This window comes from Homo sapiens, chromosome 5 (assembly GCF_000001405.40).
Source record: "Homo sapiens chromosome 5, GRCh38.p14 Primary Assembly".
NCBI lineage: Eukaryota > Metazoa > Chordata > Mammalia > Primates > Hominidae > Homo > Homo sapiens.
Window position 1 is genome coordinate 61,406,884 of NC_000005.10, and position 19,068 is coordinate 61,425,951.

Genomic DNA, 19,068 nt, shown 5'->3' on the forward strand with positions numbered 1-19,068 from the left:
TGTATTTTTAGTAGAGACGGTGTTTTGCCATGTTGGCCAGGCTGGTCTCGAACTCCTGACTTCAGGTGATCCACCCACCTCAGCCTCCCAAAGTGCTGGGATTACAGGCGTGAGCCATTGCACCCGGCCTCTCAGAAATCTTAAAAAGGATTTAGTTTCATTTAAAAATAACAAACACAGTTCCCCAAATCTGAAATTTAGTTATTGAAACTGGACCATGTTGTCCATGGAAAACATATCTTACTTTATACCAGATTTTAAAATTAACACTGGTGTAAGTGCAGCCTAAAATTCCTCTGAGCCCCACTTTTACATAAGAAAAATTATTGAATATGATAAAGGTAGCATTTCCAATCAGTGAGAAAAGATAGGTTATTCAATTTGTGTTGGGACTAGTGGATATATATCTAGGAAAAAAAGTACAGACTCTAAATATTGAAAGGTAAAACTGAAAACATAAAAATATTTGAAGAAATCACTGGAAAATTATTCTACAAACTGCATGGGGAATGACAGTCTGTGATAATAGTAACCAAGAACCATGAAAGAATAGATTGGTAACAATTCAGCTACATAAAAATCCCTAAATTTCTCTATGGCAGAAACCATGAAACAGATAAATTTACCAAACTGGAAAAAATTTTCACAAATCATGTCACAAAGAGCTAATTTTCTTAAAATATATAAAAAAGATCTTTCAAAGTGTCATACACAAAACACTGCTTTTCGAAAAACATAAGCTCCTACAAAGCAGTAAGAAAATGATGAACAAATAGAAAAATGGGCAAAGGTGATGATTTAACAGTTCACAGAGAAATACAAATGGCTTCTAAAATATATAAAAAGATGCCCAACTTCGTTCATAATATGAAAAATGTAAATTAAGACTACACTAAGATACAATTTTTCACAGATCTGTTTTCTAAAAATAAAATAAGCTTGAGAGAGAGCCTCTTATCTGAATTCTGGGACAGCCTGATTTGCATGAGGGAAATAGGCATCCTCCTGCACTGCTGGTGGGAGGGTAAAGGTACAGTCTCAGTGGAGGACAGTTTGCTGTTACCTCTCAGAATTACAAATGCATGTGTTTGTTTTGATGTAGCAATTTCCCATCTAGGAATTTATTCTTGAAAGACAGTCATACAAGATTTTCACACCAGCATTATTTGTAATAGCAAAAAGATGGGAAATTACCTAAATGCTCATATATAGGGGACTGCTAAATTGTGGAATTCCATGCAATTCTAAAAAAGAATAAGGAAGCAAAGTAGAGAACATTATGTATAGAGTTTACCATTTTAAAAAGGAGAAAATAGAATATATGTGTATTTCCTTATGTATCACTAAAATACTTCTGGGTGAATACAAGAGAAGTAACAATTTATCATGGGATGAGAACAGGGCAACTGAGGGACGAAGTTGGAGGGAGATTTTGTCACTGTGTACCCTTTTGTTTTGGACCATTTGAAGCTATTGTCTCTTGACAATAATTTCAAGAAGATAAATTATGAAGGAGGGGGTCTAAAAAAGCTTTAAAATACGTTGTTTTAATAAAATGTTTTAATTTCTTTGCTTGAAAATTAACATTGCTTTAAGGGGGAAACAGCAGTTTAGGGGGAGCAAGTGCATTTAATTAAATTGCCTCTTCAGCAGTATTAAAAATCAGTCAGTTGTAAATTGGTGAGGAATATATTAAAACCCTATGGGAGACCAAGTTCTGAAGTTTGCTTCGAAGTTCGACCAGGAAAAGAAGGGGTTAAAGGTGTGATGCAGGTAAAGGAAGGGTTAAGGGCATTATGCAAGCTGTTAAATAAAAAGGAAGTGCATTACAAAATGCTGAGCTCAGGAGTCTGGCTGCCAGCCAAACCTTTGCTTTCCTCACTACAGCTGAGGGCTTTCGAAGCTTCCCACCAGTGGGTTTGTCTGAACTGTTTAGGAATGCGGCCGCGGTCGCCAGCTGACGTCAGCGCCGCCGGTTCAGCCGCAGGCCAGAGTCAGAGACTGACAGCGCGAGGGGCGGGGTTGGGAGTCAGGATGGGGCGAGGCCTGCGTGTGACTGATGGCGCGGGGGCGGGGCGGCGTGTGTGTGACTGACCCGACCGCGCAGAGGCGGGGTGGCACAAGATTTGCGTTTCCTTGATGACTTCTAAATTATGATTATAGATTTTCTTTGTAATGAGGGGAAAGGTTTTTTTTTTTTTTTTTTTTTTTCCCGTTTTTGAAATCCAGGCCTCTGTATTGCTTCACTTTAGGTATTAAGTATAAGCACAAAATTAAATGTAACACATACCAAATTGTCCAACTTCAAAGGCCATTTTGTTTTTGTTTTTGTTTCTGAGAACGAGGGGGCCACAGTAAAAACTTTGGTGATTTTTACCAGTGGAGGGGCTAGGGAGGTGATTTTTGCTGTTTAAGGAGGTTCTCAAATTTACTTACCTGCAGTCCATTTTCATTTCAGAATTGCTACCAGAAAGAAATTGTAAAAGTTTTCAAGCATGATTTTGTAAAGCAAAAGATCAAAAAAGGAGAGAAATTATGTGGAAAATTGGCAAGATTAATTATATCTCTATTAAGACCACCTTTGCGCAAGATAGTTTTGGGTTATTACTGCTGATTTTCAGCCTTTAAAGAAAAATGTGGGTTCTTGGTAGCAACTTACAAGGATGGTGTTTAGAGCTATAGTTCCCCCTTCTCCACCATACCCTGTTTTCTTGATGGTTAATTTTACTTTTAAAAACATTTGTATTTCTTGACTATTTATTAATTAGATCATTTTGCTTAGTCATACCTAAGAGTTTTGTTAGTCTTCGGTTTCTTAGTTGTATGAGTCAGAGTCAGGAATGCAAATTTATTAGCTTTTTGTGGAGAGGGATATGTGGGATGGTGAGAGCTGCGGGTGGGTAAGCATGGAGTGCAATACCAGTTCATAGACAAGGATCTAAAAGGAGCCATTAAGCTCCATGGAAAACATTGTTACTTGATCAGGCCAGTAAAGGAAGACTATTTTGAGTAGCTACTGAAGTTATCTGATAGTTAATTTAATTGATTTGAGTAACTCTTTCAGGGACCCCAGATTTGTAAAAGTGGCACTGTTGTGACTTTTGATAAAGGGAGTTTTAGCCTTTCATGAGAGGAAGCCTTGGACTTATTTGTCCTTCATGTTGAGAAGCTTCCGTATGATCTTCATGGTTTCCTTAGGCACAATCACTGTGATTTCACCTATGTATAGCAGCCCAACTAAGGTGAAGTCAGCATATAGACCAGGAAGATACAAAACTACGAAAACTCAGGACCAGCCTTGGCAAAAGGCAACATGTGTAGCCCTAAATTACCCCGGTACTCTAGTGCTCAGCCCCACATTGACAATTGCACAGAATTTAAGTGTTCTGAGTTTGTGAATAGTATTGTAATAATGGATGTATTTCCTTTTTTTTTTTTTTTTTTTCAGACGGAGTCTCACTCTGTTGCCAGGCTGGAGTGCAGTGGTGCGATCTCGGCTCACTGCAACCTCTGACTCCCTGGTTCAGGCGATTCTCCTGCCTCAGCCTCCCGAGTAGCTGGGATTACAGGCACGTGCCACCATGCCTGGCTAATTTTTGTATTTTTAGTAGAGATGGGGTTTCACCATGTTGGCCAGGATGGTCTCGATCTCCTGACCTCGTGATCCACCCACCTTGGCCTCCCAGAGTGCTGGGATTACAGGCATGAGCCACCGTGCCCGGCGATTTATTTCCTTTTTAAACCATCTGACTAGATTCTAAAGACTGGTGTTTTTCACTTAGATACCTTTTTGTTGATAGTACACTTCATGCAGAATAATTTTAAGAGTACAGAGTTGTAAACTACTGTTACATTGAACTCAAATATTAAGGTCATTTCATTTAATACATAGAATAGCCAACAGGAATATTTGACAGATTGAACATTGAATTAAGAATGAGGTATGAAGTGTGCTTAGTTTGCTAAGTCACCAGTTATACGACTTTGTCCACTTTTAATCTCATCGTGTCTTAGTTTCTCCAGGGGAAAATGCTTTTTATTAGTTTTCCTATAACAGGACTCAAGGCAAAAAACGCTTTTATGAAGACGTAAGAATATTCTGGTTAATAATACACTATGGTTTGGCATGCTTGGAAAGGGCAGCAGAAGAAATGGCAACCTGGTGTGGATGCTGACTGGTCTCTCCATCTCTCTGCTTGTCTGAAGCACTGCAGCAAAGTCGCTGGGAGGTCCTGTGCTCTAGGAGTGGAGCCTTGAGTGATTTGAGTGTGTATTTAGAATGAGGTTTCCTTTCTTTGTTTTTGCCAAATTAGTTATCAGTTCTTCTAAAATACAGTCCTCTCAAAATATGGAGTGAATGTTTGTGTCTTGTTGGATGAGTCTGTATTTGGACTTAAGTGTGACTCAATTGTTTTTTAAACTTTAATGACAACTAAGGTGAGCACATTTTGAGTTACAAAGGATGGGAATACAGTAAAAATTGCTTCCCTGAAGTCTTGATATTAGTGAAGAAACAACCCCCTAATTGGAAGCTTTTGGACAAAGCTAGAATATAGTTTTGCTTCCTGAATACTCTAAAATGTTTCAGGAAATTTCAACCTTGTCTTTAATAAGAACACTTTAAAATTACTTTTGTCTAGTTAACACATGTTTTGAAATATATTGTCTTCAATGTGTTAATCCACTCAGGCTCCTATAACAAAAATACCTTTAACCAGTAGCTTATAAACCATACAAATTTATTTGTCCCAGTTCTGGAGGCTAAGAAGTCCAAGATCAAGGTGCCATCAGATTGGGTGTCTGATGAGGCCCCTTTTCCTGGTTCCTGGATGGCACCTTCTTGCTGTGTCTTCATGTGGTAGAAGGAAAGGATGAAAGGTCTCTCTTGGGCCTCTTTTTAAGGGCCCTAATCCCATTCATGAGGGCTCTACATCCGTGACCTACTTAACCTTGTAAAGGCGGCACATCACCTTGGAGGTGAGGATTTCAACATATGAATTGGGGTTGGGGATAAGTATGCAGACCATAGCATGCATTTTCATTTTCATTCATATATTGAGATTTTAGGAAATTAATCAAAGACATTATAGCTGCTAATACCGATCAAATAACCAATGTAACCACAATAAATTGATTTAATTTCAGCCCACAAGAAATGAAAAATTGATCTTTGTTATGTTAGCCTTGTAACTTTACTTCTGGTAAATCTACAGTTTCTATTAGATGGTTTGAAACTTTGGACAAAGCACGTGATACCTTATTGCTTCCAATGAATCACAGGGAATTGAGATTGGGACCCTATACTGAGATCTCATGATAAAAAGAGAAAAACTTCACAGGAGAAAGTTGAACTGCTTTTTATGCAGGAATAGAACTTCTGGGTTGGTCAGAGTTGCAACTACCATAATTTAGATCTGGCATCGTTTGCTGGGAAATGGGGTCGGGAGAGAAGCAGCATCCTAGGTTTGATCCCCTGAAGACTGATAGCTCAGGTGTAGTGTGATTTTAGTATGTTTCAGGGCTTGAATTTAGAATCTTCCCTTTCCATTTCCTTGCATATCAGGAATTAGTGATGTGGAGGCATTTATTGTTTATGTTATTTGGGGCAGCTGGCAGCACATTTGTGTCTTAGGTTCTGTTTAGTGTTTTAACTATTTGCATATTCTTTTTATGGGCTACTTCTTGGCTTGCGTTGAGATGGAATTGAAGAAAGCAAGTTCCGCAGTGAAAACAGATTGTCAAAACCAGAAAAGAGGCACATTGTGCTCAGTTTTCAAAACTCTTCTGTTAATCTCTGTATTGGTTCCTAAGAACCCTGCTGAAGAATCTATGTTTTCTTAGGAGTGTCCATCTTGAATATTAATTTAAAATGGTTTATTGTGAATTTCCTCTCATTAAGCCTGGTCTTTTGTATTGTTTTCCATTTTATTGTTGAAAGTGTTTATCATTAAAATTTATTTTCTGTTCTCATTCATTCATTCATTCATTCCTTTTGAATACCTACTGTGTGCCAGACTTAAAGTCAGTTGCTGGGTACATATTGCTGAGCAAAAATAAACTTGCAGTATAATGGAAATTAGAGATTTTTTTTTTTATTTCACTATTGTTTATTTTCTTTTTTTTTCCTTATTTTTTCTTTTTTATTATTATTATTATACTTTAAGTTTTAGGGTACATGTGCACAATGTGCAGGTTAGTTACATACGTATACGTGTGCCATGCTGGTGTGCTGCACCCATTAACTTGTCATTTAGCATTAGGTATATCTCCTAATGCTATCCCTCCCCCCTCCCCCCACCCCACAACAGTCCCCAGAGTGTGATGTTCCCCTTCCTGTGTCCATGTGTTCTCATTGTTCAATTGCCATCTATGAGTGAGAACATGCGGTGTTTGGTTTTTTGCACTTGCAATAGTTTACTGAGAATGATGATTTCCAATTTCATCCATGTCCCTATAAAGGACATGAACTCATCATTTTTTATGGCTGCATAGTATTCCATGGTGTATATGTGCCACATTTTCTTAATCCAGTCTATCATTGTTGGACATTTGGCTTGGTTCCAAGTCTTTGCTATTGTGAATAGTGCTGCAGTAAACATATGTGTGCCTGTGTCTTTATAGCAGCATGATTTATAGTCCTTTGGGTATATACCCAGTAATGGAATGGCTGGGTCAAATGGTATTTCTAGTTCTAGATCCCTGAGAAATCGCCACACTGACTTCCACAATGGTTGAACTAGTTTACAGTCCCACCAACAGTGTAAAAATGTTCCTATTTCTCCACATCCTCTCCAGCCCCTGTTGTTTCCTGACTTTTTAATGATTGCCATTCTAATTGGTGTGAGATGGTATCTCATTGTGGTTTTGATTTGCATTTCTCTGATGGCCAGTGATGATGAGCATTTTTTCATGTGTCTTTTGGCTGCATAAATATCTTCTTTTGAGAAGTATCTGTTCATATCCTTTGCCCACTTTTTGATGGGGTTGTTTGTTTTTTTCTTGGAAATTAGAGATGTTAAAGTGTGTGTGAAGGAAGCTCCTGAGGGCAGGAGTGGGGTGGGGGTGGGGCGACCTGATGTATTCAAATAACTGAAAGGAAGGAACGCAGTGTGAGTTGTAGAGCAGAGCAGTATGAGGAGAGAGTGATACCAGATGGGGTAGGAGAAATGGACAGGGCAAAGATCATCCTGTGAGGTAATTCCAGTACATTAAAAGGAATTGACTTGAGTGTAGTGGGAAGCCATCCTCAGGGTGCTATTTGGAGAATATGTTGGTGAGGGCAAGAGTGGAAGCAAGGTGTTCAGTGAAGAGGGTAGTTGTAATAGTTCAGTATTAGCTTGGACTAGGGTGGGGCAGTGATGGAGAGAAGTGGACATATCAGCCCAATTTAGTGATGGCATTGGATGGGATGGGGAAAAAAAAGAAGAAAGAAGCCAAGGTGATTTTGAGGTTTCTATTTTGAGGATCAGGGGTGGTGACTGTTTATTGGAGCTGGGAATGAGGGGGAAAAGAACAGTTTTGGGACGTGACAAATCAAGGGTTTAGTTTTGGACCTGAGTCTGAGCTATGCAGTAGAGAGGTCAGGTAAATAGCATGGCTGAAATCTTTTTTCCTTTGCCCTGTAGAATTAGGGCAGAGGAAAAAAGATATTTCCTGTGCCAACTATAAAATTAGTTATGGTTTTTAAATTTGAAAATACAGGATTTTAGCTCAGACTGAATTACTTTATGGGAGGAGATGTCCGTCTCCTCTGTGGAAGGGGAAGTATTTTGAAATAGTTATAAGCCCAACAAACATATCCCCAAACTGAGGCAGTCAGCATGAGAGAACTCTGCTGTGCTCATTAAATATGGTTGAGAGGTAAACTGAATAAGATTATTTATGTTTCAAAGGGGTCAGCGTTCAATACTGCTGTTGAGTAATAGATTTTTAAGTTTTTCTTTGCTTACTTTTTAGGTTATTTTTCCTTAAGAGATTTTAGATGAGTTACGATAAAAAATGTTGAACACTGTGCCTTGCACCATCTAATCCCTTTCTCTGTGCTATTTTATCTAAACCCTAATTGTCAGAAGAAAGCTGTGAAATAGATGGCATTTTAATCCTGTCTTTATAGATGAGGAAACTGGATTGCGGGGAGGTTAGTACTTGCTCGAGGATACACAGCCAGCAAATGCCATTCCCAGGTTTGACTGGCACCAAAGCTGATGCTCCTCGTACTGTTCCCTATGGCTGCAACACAGAGCTAATAGTTTTGTTTTTGCAGTCTTTTCGGGAATGTGGTGGAGTTCAAGTAGGCTTTTGCATGTTAGTTTATGATCGAAAATGTATGAAGTAGAGCCTAGAAAGTAATTTAGAGATATTTCATATATCAAGAAGGGAGTGTTATTTTGATGTATGACATAGGAATATTTAGGATAAAAACCCTTGGGCTGGGCGCAGTGGCTCATGCCTGTAATTCCAGCACTTTGGGAGGCCGAGGTGGGCGGATCACCTGAGGTCAGGAGATCGAGGCCATCCTGGCCAACATATTGAAACCCTGTCTCTACTGAAATACAAAAATTAGCCGGGCGTGGTGGCACGTGCCTGTAATCCCAGCTACTCGGGAGGCTGAGGCAGGAGAATCGCTTGAACCAGGGAGTCACAGGTTGCAGTGAGCCGAGATCACGCCACTGCACTCCAGCCTGGGCGACAGAGTGAGACTCTGTCTCCAAAAAAAAAAAAAACGCTACTGATTCCTATGTAAGAATATGTTTGTGTGTTGGGATGGATATGACATGGGGACTGATTGGCCATATAAAGGTTCTGGGCCCCATTTCTCTACAGTTCACAAAGGGCACAGTTAAAAAATGGCATAACCAGTCAACTACAGGCCACTTAGTATCTGCTGCTGGATGAGCTCAAGTTAGTTAATGTATATGCTGCATTCTACCTCAGAAGGAATAATTGGATCTTTAAAACTTTAAAAAAGATTTTTGGTTTGTTTTAAACAACTGAGAATGTTAAGGACAAAAAAGACTTCATGAAACATTTACCAATGAAAGGTAATGGGAGCTTAAGTTATTCAAGATAAGTTTATCAGGGCTTAGAATACCAGCAATCTGATGTTACTATAAAACCAAAAGTGTGGATCGTAATCTAAATCTAACCTTCTTACATTTGTGTTGGGTGAGGAGTATGCAGAGTCTAGGAATCACTGGATACAAAAAGGGTTATATGGAAGTGTTCTCTTTGCATGTGAGTTTGTGGAACGAATGGCATTCCTTTGTTGCTGAATTAATCCAGATTCTTGGAAGGAATAGAGAGGAAGGAGGCAGAAAGGCCGGTTTTCACAGTGTTGTTGTACCTGCTGATAACTCACCAAGGCCCTGTTAAGATGAGTCAATTCTAATAACTCTTGGGATTTCCCTACTAGTGAAGCTTCTTTTACAGCTTCATCTCCCCCTCCTCCCGCAGAAACGATGAGACTTCTTGAAATTTTTAATAAGAATTTTAGACACTCTAGCAGTAGTTTCCAGGAGCCACAGCCTCTGATATCATGCTGCTTTTGATCTTCCTCCTAGCTGATTATATCACCTGTTAGAGCTTATACACCTCTGATCTCCTCCTGGGGGTATGATAGAATCCTGTTTCTTGATTCTCTCAGAAGTGATGAGTGACCAGCAGGCAGGCTTTTTAGCCAGGTGCTTAGGACCTCATGCCAATGAGATGAATCAAAGGTTTGATCCCTGTAGGTCCATCCCTCTTGGAGTGATTTAGTTTAGCTCTGCCCCTTCCTTTGGCCTCACGCAGTGCACTAGCCCCAGCTAGCTGCCTTGCCAGCAACCACCATTAGATTGCAAGACAGAATTGAAACACAAATAAGTTGCTAAGACTAGAAAACACAAAGCCTATTTGAAAGAACAGAAGTTGAGGAAGGTAGACAGGGAATGAATGAGAAGTATGAACAGAAAGACAACAAAATAGTGCATAAGGCCGGGCACAGTGGCTACGCCTGTAATCCCAGCACTTCGGGAGGCCGAGGCAAGGTGGATCACCTCGGTCAGTGATCAGGAGTTTGAGACCAGCCTGACCAACATGGTGAAACCTCATCTCTACTAAAAATACAAAAATTAGCCAGGCGTAGTGGCACATGCTTGTAATCCCAGCTACTCGGGAGGCTGAGGCAGGAGAATTGCTTGAACCCGGGAGGTGGAGGTTGCAGTGAGCCGAGATTGTGTCATTGCACTCCAGCCTGGGCAACAAGAGCAAACTCCGTCTCGAAGAAAAAAAAAATAAAAGCGCATACCTTTGTTAGCATCTGCCTGTAGACTAATGGAAATTAGGTTGGAACTGTAGTTGCAGAAATGAAAAGGACTTTGAGTTCACAAAGGAGTTCACTGCCTATATCTGTTAGAAGATCCTGCCTCAATATATATTATCTACATTAAACAGGTTTAGGAGATTATTAAATGAAAATCACTCAAGCGTGCCAACTAAAATTATTCAAGTTCAGTTTCAAAGTGGATTTTTTTAGTATAAATAGATGCAGGTTCCCAAAGAAGCCTTCAAATGGGTAGAAATGCTGTTTTTTCTTTTCCTATGGGTACTGTTTTTAGGTATGGTTAGAGGACACAGTTTCAGAACTGTAGAACACAGTAATTAGAAAGGCTGCCTAAGGGGCTGTGTGGATTGTGTGAGTAGAGTCTGAAACATAAATGAAAAGCAAAAGCTAATCAAAAGAGGTTCATGTTAGCATGTGCTTTTCTTGGTGCTCCATCATTACTGTAGCTAATCGGATCCTTACCACTGAAGTGCATACTTTTAAATTTGTACAGTTAAGGACTTTTGTTTTGAAATACTATAAGCGAATGCATGTCTTTTTCTATATTTAAATAACTGATATACTCAAGAGTTTTGGAGAATGGGTAGATTGTTTATCTGTGAATTTTTAAAGCAGATTGTACATATCACAGTTTTGCTTCATAAGCAAACTGTGTGGTTTTTCTTATTAGGAAGCTTCAAGAAAGACCTTGAAACCAAGTGAAAACCATTGAGGATATCACAGGATGGTAGAGTTTTAGAATTCGAAGGTACTTTATTGGTGATCTAATCAGTCCATCAATTTACATATGAATAACTGAGGCAGTGAGAAATTAAGTGGTTTGCAGAGGTCTAAATATCTAGTAGTGGGAGAATCAAAACCAGGACTACAGGCTTTTAACTTGCAGTCCAGTCCTTTTATCAGCACCAAATATGGTGATTTGAATGTAGATTATGCTAAAGGAATGGGGAATGATAACTGCTTTGTTCATAGCACTCATAAAACCTATCCAGGGATTTTGAAAGGCTCAATAATTTTAACACAAAGAAGGATTCAATACAGAACTAGTCTATGATTTATTTATTTATTTATTTATTTTTTTGAGGCGAAATCTTGCTCTGTCGCCCAGGCTGGAGTGCAATGTTGTGATCTTGGCTCACTGCAACCTCCGCTTCCCGGGTTCAAGTGATTCTCCTGCCTCAGCGTCCGAAGTAGTTGGGATTACAGGTGCCTGCCACCACACCCGGCTACTTTTTTGTATTTTTAGTAGAAATTTTCAAGACCTGGTTGGTCTCGAACTCCTGACCTCAGTTGATCCACCAGCCTCGGCCTCCCAAAGTGCCGGGATTACAGGTGTGAGCCACTGTGCCCGGCCTACTCTATGATTTTTATTTAAATGAAACCTTCTAGTGACTATCTAGATGAGTGAGGGGTCAAGACACAGAAACAAATGTTTCCAAGGGAAGTGGTAGATGGCGATAGAAATATGGATGTGGTACTTTAAGGACAGAGACAAGGGAATGGTCTTTAAGATGCTCTTTAAAATTTTTCAGTGCAGGGATAAAGTGTTATTATTAGAGAAATAATGTTTACTTTACGAGACACCTTGCTTTTCACATCCCTCAGCTCCTGTTTATAACTTACTATTATTTTTTTGAGACAGAGTCTTGCCCTGTCGCCCAGGCTAGAGTGCAGTGGTGCAATCTCGGCTCACTGCAACCTCCACCTCCCAGGTTCAAGCGATTCTCCTGCCTCAGCCTCCTGAGTAGCTGGGACTACAGGTGTGCGCCGCCATGCCTGGCTAATTTTTGTGTTTTTAGTAGAGACAGAATTTCACCATGTTTGCCAGGCTGGTCTTGAACTCCTGACTTCAGGTGATCCCCCTGCCTTGGCCTTCCAAAGTTTTGGGATTACAGGCATGAGCCACCACGCCCGGCCTCCTCTTTATAACTTAGTTGGGTTAGTTTCCATGTATAGTAATGAATTTTCTCTCAGGAAAGCCATTGTGGCCTATAGATTAAAGTTATTTGCCCTTTGTATTTGATACTATCAACATGCCTTGGTGTCTTTAGTCACTCTTTGGATTTGGCTCACCAGAGAGGTTTAGAAAGATTGAAAGATAATTCTACCATTATCTCACTGGTTATATTACTGTTGATGGTATCACATCCATTACAGTTCTCATGAACCACTGAGTAAATCAGTGCTGTGCTCTGGGCTCACTATTAAGTTGATTTTCATTTGTACTCAAGGCTATACCATTTGGATGTTAATATTAAGCTCTGCTTCCAGTCTTCAAGGTCTAGAACTGAGCTGCCCAGTAAGGCAGCCACTAGCCACATGTGGCTATTTAGATTTACATTAATTATAATTAAATAACATGGAACATTCATTTTCTCAGTGATGCATTTCAAGTGCTCAATAGTTACATGTGGCTAGTGGCTAATATATTGAACAGCTCAGGTATAGAACATTTCCATCATTGTAGAAAATTCTATTAGACAGCACTGGTCTAGAATATCATGCCTTGTCCACACAATGCAAGCCTCTCCTGAAAGGCTTTTTTCTTCTGAGGGATGTGCCCTTCAGGACAATGGTAGTTTGTGGCCCTTGCCTTCTGGTTGTATGAATTACAGAACAGGATATACAATAGGTTGATCTGGGCTGGAGTTAGGTGTGCAATTGTGTTAGAAGTAGTTGTGGTTTCATCAATAGAAATATCTTAGAAATTGCAATCAGAAGGTCTGGGTTGAGATCCAACTTTGCCCTTTACTAGAAACATGGATTTGGGTTAACCATTTGACATCTTTGAACTTCAGTTTTTTAACCTGTAACACGAAGATCATATCTCACAGGATTGTTGTGTCATATACATTAGAAAGTACTTTATAAACTGTAAAATCTATTCAGATATTTTTATGGTTATTTTAGGAACACCAAACATTTTAATTTGCAAGAGTAATCTTTAAATTCTTTCATCTTTGCCTGGAGGGCATCACATTGAATTAATTGATAAAGAATGAAAAAATGACTGTACAAAGAACCTAACACATGCTCTAGAGACCAGCACATTGTCTAATGACAGAATAGGATTAAGTGATGGAGCATGTGAAAGACCTACAAAATGATACTAATGTCCAGCTTTTTACTATATATCTGAAAGTTTTAACAATATTGTAGACATTTCACTTGCTCCTAGACCAGTAGATGACTCATTTAACATCAGATAGGAAGAAAGATCACTTATAATAAGGTTTTAAAATGTTCTCCATACAGAAGTTTCTAGTATTTTTTTTACCAGAACACAATTTTTTTTTTTTGATATCACAGTGAATTGGGGCATGGTGTTAAGCATTATCCATGTTTTATACTGACTAAGTAGCAGTAGAACAGAGGCTGCCGGGGAGTGGTGGTAGAGAGTGTGTAGGGAGGTGCACGTTAGAACAATTTGATTTGATAATTGATTATAATGATGATTAATTTTTAATTTTTAATTTTTGTGGGTACATAGTGAGTATGTATATTTATGGACTATATGGGATATTTTGATACAGGCATGGAACATGTAATAATCACATCAGGGTAAATGGCATATCAATCACCTCAAGCATTTATCCTTTGTGCTACAGGCAATCCTGTTATACTCTTTTAGTTATTTTAAAATGTAAAATTAAATTATTTTTGACTATAGTCACCCTGCTGTGCTAACAAATACTAGGTCTTATTCGTTCTATTTTTTTTTTTTCCTTCTTTTGAGATGGAGTCTTGCTCTGTCACCCAGGCTGGAGTGCAGTGGTGGGGTCTTGGATCACTGCAACCTCTGCCTCCCAGGTTCAAGCAGTGCTCATGTCTCAGTCTCCGAGGTGGCTGGAATTACCGGCGCACCCTGCTCAGCTAATTTATTTATTTATTTTTTATTAGAGATGGGGTTTTGCCACGATGCCCAGGCTGGTCTCAAACTCCTGGCCTCAAGTGTTCTGCTGGCCTTGGCCTCCCAAAGTGCTGGGATTACAAGCTAGAGCCACTGTGCCTGGCCTCATTCTGTCTTTGTTTTTGTTTTTGTACCCATTAACCATCCCCACTTTTCTTCCTAGCCTCTGGTAATCATCTTTCTACTCTCTTAATGAGTTCAGTTGTTTTAATTTTTAGGTCCCACAAATAAGTGAGAACATGCAAAGTTTGTCTTTCTATGCCTGGCTTATTTCACTTAACATAATGACCTCCAGTTCCCTTCATGTTGTTGCACATGATAGGATCTCATTTTTTCATGGCTGTATAGTATTCCATTGTGCATATGTATCACATGAAAAAAAATTTTAGGTTCAGGGGTACATGTGAAGATTTGTTACATAGGTAAACTCATGTCATGGGGGTTTGTTGTACAGATTATTTCATCACCCAGGTATTAAACCCAGTACCCAACAGTTATCTTTTCTGCTCCTCTTTCTCCTCCTACACTCAAGTAGGCCCCATTGTCTGTTGTTCCCTTCTTTGTGTCCATGAGTTCTCATCATTTAGCTTCCACTTATAAGTGAGAACATGTTTTATTTGGTTTTCTGTTACTGCATTAGTTTGCTAAGAATAGTGGCCTGTAAGTCCATCCATGTTCCTGTAAAAGACATGAAGTTGTTCTCTTTTATGGCTGCATAGTATTCCATGGTGTATATGTACCACATTTTCTTTAGCCAGTATGTCATCAATGTTGCCCATTTTTTAATCGATTAGATTTTTTCCTCTAGGGTTGTTTGAGCACAGCCTTGTATATTCTGGTTATTAATCCCTTGTCAGGTGGGTAGTTTGCAAATATTTTCTCCCATTCTGCGAGTTGTCTCTTCAGTTTGTTGATCGTTTCCTTTGCTGTGCAGCAGCTTTTAAATAATAAATTGATGTGATCCCATTTGTCCATTTTTGCTTTGGTTGCCTGTGCTTGTGGGATATTACTCAATAAATCTTTGCCCAGCCCAGTGTCCTGGAGAGTTTCCCCAAAGTTTTCCTTTAGAAGTTTAATAGTTCGAGGTCTTAGATTTAAGTGTTTAATCCATTTTGATCTGATTTTTGTATATGGTGAGAGACAGGGGTCTAGTTTCATTCTTTTGCATATGGATATCTAATTTTCCCAGCACCATTTATTGAAGAGACTGTCCTTTTCCCAAAGGATTTTCTTGGCACTTTTGTCAAAAATGAATTCACTGTAGATATATGGATTCATCTCTGGGTTCTCTGTTCTATTCCACTTACTAAGTGTCTATTTTTATGCTGGCACTGTACTGTTTTGGTTACTATAGCTCTGTAGTATAATTTGAAGTCAAGTAATGTTATTCCTCCAGTTTTGTTCTTTTTGCTTAGATAGCTTTGACTATTTTGGGTCTTTTGTGGTTCCATACAAAGTTTAGGATTTTTTTTTCTGTTCCTGTGAAGAACGTCATTGGCATCTTGATTGGTATTGCATTAAGTCTGTAGATTACTTTGGGTAGTGTGGACATTTTAACAATATTGATTCTTCTAATCCATGAACATGGAGTATATTTCCATTTTTGTGTGTGTCTTCTTTTATTTTTTACATTAGTGTTTTATAATTTTCATTCTAGAGATCTTTCACTTCCTTGGTTAATTCCTAGGTATTTTATTTGTAGCTATTGTAAATAAGATTACTTTCTTGATTTTTCAGATTGTTTGCTGTTGGCATATAAAAATGCTACTGATTTTTGTATGTTGATTTTGTATCATGCAACTATACTAAATATGTTTATCAGAACAAATAGTTTTTTAATGGAGTTTTTAGATTTTTCCAAATATAAGGTAATTTGGAAACAAGGATAATTTGACTTCTTCCTTTCCACTTTGGATGCCGTTTCTCTTCTTTTCTTTTCTTTCTTTTTCTTTCTCTTGTCTGATTACTTTAACTAGAACTTCCAGTATTATGTTGAATAATAGTGGTGAGGGCCAGGCGCAGTGGCTCACGCCTGTAATCCCAGCACTTTGGGAGGCCAAGGCAGGTGGATCACCTGAGGTCAGGAGTTTGAGACCAGCCTGGCCAACATAGTGAAACCCCGTCTCTACTAAAAATACAAAAAATTAGCAGGACATGGTGGCGGATGCCTGTAATCCCAGCTACTCGGTAGGCTGAGGCAGGAGAATCGCTTGAACCTGGGAGGTGGAGGTTGCAGTGAGCTGAGATCGTGCTATTGCATTCCATCCTGGGCATCAAGAGTGAAACTCCATCTCAAAAAAAAAACACAAAAAAAAAACAAAACGGCAACAACAAAAAACAGTGGTGAAAATGGGCATCCTTGTTGTTGGTCACTGATAATTAAGAAGCAGTTATAGATGTTGCATTTGTGCTAGTTTCTTATCTTAGGTGATCAGAAAGGAAGTGACAGAGGCAACCACTTTTAGTGAAGATACATGTAGAATCTTCAGCAAGTGATATTGCTACAAATCAGATGGCACCACCCAGATGGTAAGTTCACTGTGTTTATTCCAACTCTGCATTCCACTGTCAGTAGGATGGTTATCTATGCATTCAGCACTGCACAAATTGTACAAGCCAGTGAGCCTTCTGCCCAGAATCATAAAATGAAAGCAAGAATATTGGAAGCCAAAAAGACTTCTTCATATGTTTGAAAGTTCAGCTTTTCCTTTTCATTAAAAATTCACTTCCCCCCACTCCCCATGCAAGAATTTCGATACTGGCTGACGACATTTTATCCCTCAAAAGCCACCTCCTCAATGAACCTTTAGTTGCCTCCTCTCCCCCGTAAATGAGCAGCCCCTCCTCTGTGTCCTTAAATTCCTGTGCCTGTGTTACTGCCAGCAATTTGTGCCTTGATCACTTCTGCTGATGGCCAGTTTTTGAAGCAAGGATGCCTCTGAGTTGCTATCTCAAAAGTACAGTTCTCAAAGAAGGGGACAAAGACTGTGAGGAGGAAGAGGAATTAAAACTTGCTGTGCAGGCTTTGAAGGAACACATAGGAGCAGAAGTTAGAAGGAGATGGACTTTAATATAAGGAGTATCTTTTTCCATCTTTCTAAAAATAAAAGGAACTGCCTAAGTGTTTGAGGTGAGGCTAGGTAACTATTTACCAGAGATGATGTTACAGGGATTAGATATAAGGTACAGGGCTCGATTAGGTTATTTTTTGAGTAGTTACTAGCTCTGAGAGAATTATAATTGCACTTATTGGAAACTTAAGGGCAAACATAAAGGAGAAAATAAAGATGTAGAGAATGTCTTCTGAGGTGGGAAATAGAGAAGCCGGGGCTCAGACCCTGGTCTCGCCTAGGGAGAGCAGACGCTGACAGATAATCTCGGTTTTTTCCTCAGGCACTTCAAGGTCCATTTTAGTTCACTGCTTCTAATCTTGGGCTTCACCTCAGCTGTTTCCCAGAATCTTTCGAACCTCGAAGAGCAAGCTTCACTTTTGGGCTGTTCCAGCTCTGGTGCCAGTAGCCCACTCATGCTATGGAATTACTTTTGTTGAGGAGCTATTATAATATGTAGTTTAAGAGTGTGAGTTCTGAGCCGGTCTACCTAATCTTGGCTCTTTTTTTTTTTTTTTTTGGAGATGGAGTTTTGCTCTGTCACCCAGACTGGAGTGCAGTGGTGCGATCTCGGCTCACTGTAACCTATGCCTGCTGGGTTCCAGCAATTCTCCTGCCTCAGCCTCCTGGATAGCTGGGATTACAGGCGCCCGCCACCACGCCCGTCTAATTTTTGTATTCTTAGTAGAGACAGGGTTTCATTATGTTGACCAGGCTGGTCTCGAACTCCTGATCCACCTGCCTCGGGCTCCCAAAGCGCTGGGATTACAAACGTGAGCCACTGCGCCCGGCACTAATCTTGGCTCTTATGTGTAAACTTTAGCAAGTTAATTAAACTCTCTTTTGTGCCTCAGTTTCCTCACTTGTAAATATTAGGGAATATCTGGGAATAATAACTGGATTTTATCAAAACCAAGACCATTGATTGTAAAATGTGTCATTGCTTTCTGTACCCCTAAGGAAGAAAAAATATTGTCCATGGAACTATGATAGACCACTGAATATTAGTTACATCCCAATTTCAGAGAGGTTAAAATGGAGAAAAAGGTGTATATTCATAGAATTGATGAAATATAGCAGTGGCACATCTACATTTTAGGATTGTTATGAGGAATAAATTGGCATTTGTAAAGCATTTCCACTGGTATCTGGCATAAAATAAATGCTGCAGGGCTGGCTGTTTTTTGAACCTGTGCCAGTTAAAAAAGTTAATTTAGTCATCTAGTCAGTGTTTATGAAGCACCATGCTTAGAAGACACCGTGGTTCTAGACTATAATTCATGCTCTGAGAGTTCTCATGTTCTAGTTATAGGGAAACTCACAAAAAGAGAGAAATCCCCATACAACCTGGAAATGGGAACACAGTTATTTGGGAATTGTATAAGGAGCATAAGGAGTAAGATTAACTTTTGTCAGAGGAGTCAGGAAAAGCTTCAGAGGGAAAGAGGCATTTAAGGTTAACCAGGAAGGAAGAGAAGAGGAGGGTTCATCAGAAAGAGAAGGCCATTGGTAAAGGACATTTTGGGCAGAGGGAACAGAATGTGCAAAAGCACTGGGCTTATAAAAGGGATCAGAATGACAGGAATGTTGAGAGTATATGGGCCTGGTGGCAGCAGATAAATCTGAAGTGGTAAGCTGCCCCTGATTGTGAAGGGTCTTATGTGCTCAGCTAGGAACTTCGAACGTTATGTTCATTTAGTAAGAAATGGGCAGATAACTGGATTTCT

At 39.4% G+C, this 19,068-nt stretch overlaps 1 protein-coding gene across 1 annotated transcript in view, besides 5 other annotated features; it reads left to right on the top strand.

Moving 5' to 3' along the window:
- Positions 1 to 19,068, top strand: part of ZSWIM6 (zinc finger SWIM-type containing 6) — a 213,915-nt gene that overhangs the window by 74,626 nt on the left and 120,221 nt on the right. The window lies entirely within an intron of this gene.
- Positions 1,128 to 2,327: an enhancer, noted in NCBI's record as "P300/CBP strongly-dependent group 1 enhancer chr5:60703838-60705037 (GRCh37/hg19 assembly coordinates)". NCBI's record gives its function as "activates an origin of replication core promoter dependent on BRD2, BRD4, P300/CBP, MED14 and CDK7 cofactors, with strong dependence on P300/CBP, by STARR-seq in HCT116 cells {active_cell/tissue: HCT116}" and the evidence as "EXISTENCE:reporter gene assay evidence [ECO:0000049][PMID:35650434]".
- Positions 1,753 to 2,143: a silencer, noted in NCBI's record as "fragment chr5:60704463-60704853 (GRCh37/hg19 assembly coordinates)". NCBI's record gives its function as "represses an EF-1alpha promoter that drives an FKBP-Casp9 reporter gene in an ReSE screen in HepG2 liver carcinoma cells {active_cell/tissue: HepG2}" and the evidence as "EXISTENCE:reporter gene assay evidence [ECO:0000049][PMID:32094911]".
- Positions 8,709 to 9,335: an enhancer, noted in NCBI's record as "NANOG-H3K27ac-H3K4me1 hESC enhancer chr5:60711419-60712045 (GRCh37/hg19 assembly coordinates)". NCBI's record gives its function as "activates a minimal SCP1, AML or CMV promoter by ChIP-STARR-seq in naive H9 embryonic stem cells {active_cell/tissue: H9 hESC(naive)}" and the evidence as "EXISTENCE:reporter gene assay evidence [ECO:0000049][PMID:30033119]".
- Positions 9,336 to 9,963: an enhancer, noted in NCBI's record as "NANOG-H3K27ac hESC enhancer chr5:60712046-60712673 (GRCh37/hg19 assembly coordinates)". NCBI's record gives its function as "activates a minimal SCP1, AML or CMV promoter by ChIP-STARR-seq in naive H9 embryonic stem cells {active_cell/tissue: H9 hESC(naive)}" and the evidence as "EXISTENCE:reporter gene assay evidence [ECO:0000049][PMID:30033119]".
- Positions 9,964 to 10,590: an enhancer, noted in NCBI's record as "H3K27ac hESC enhancer chr5:60712674-60713300 (GRCh37/hg19 assembly coordinates)". NCBI's record gives its function as "activates a minimal SCP1, AML or CMV promoter by ChIP-STARR-seq in naive H9 embryonic stem cells {active_cell/tissue: H9 hESC(naive)}" and the evidence as "EXISTENCE:reporter gene assay evidence [ECO:0000049][PMID:30033119]".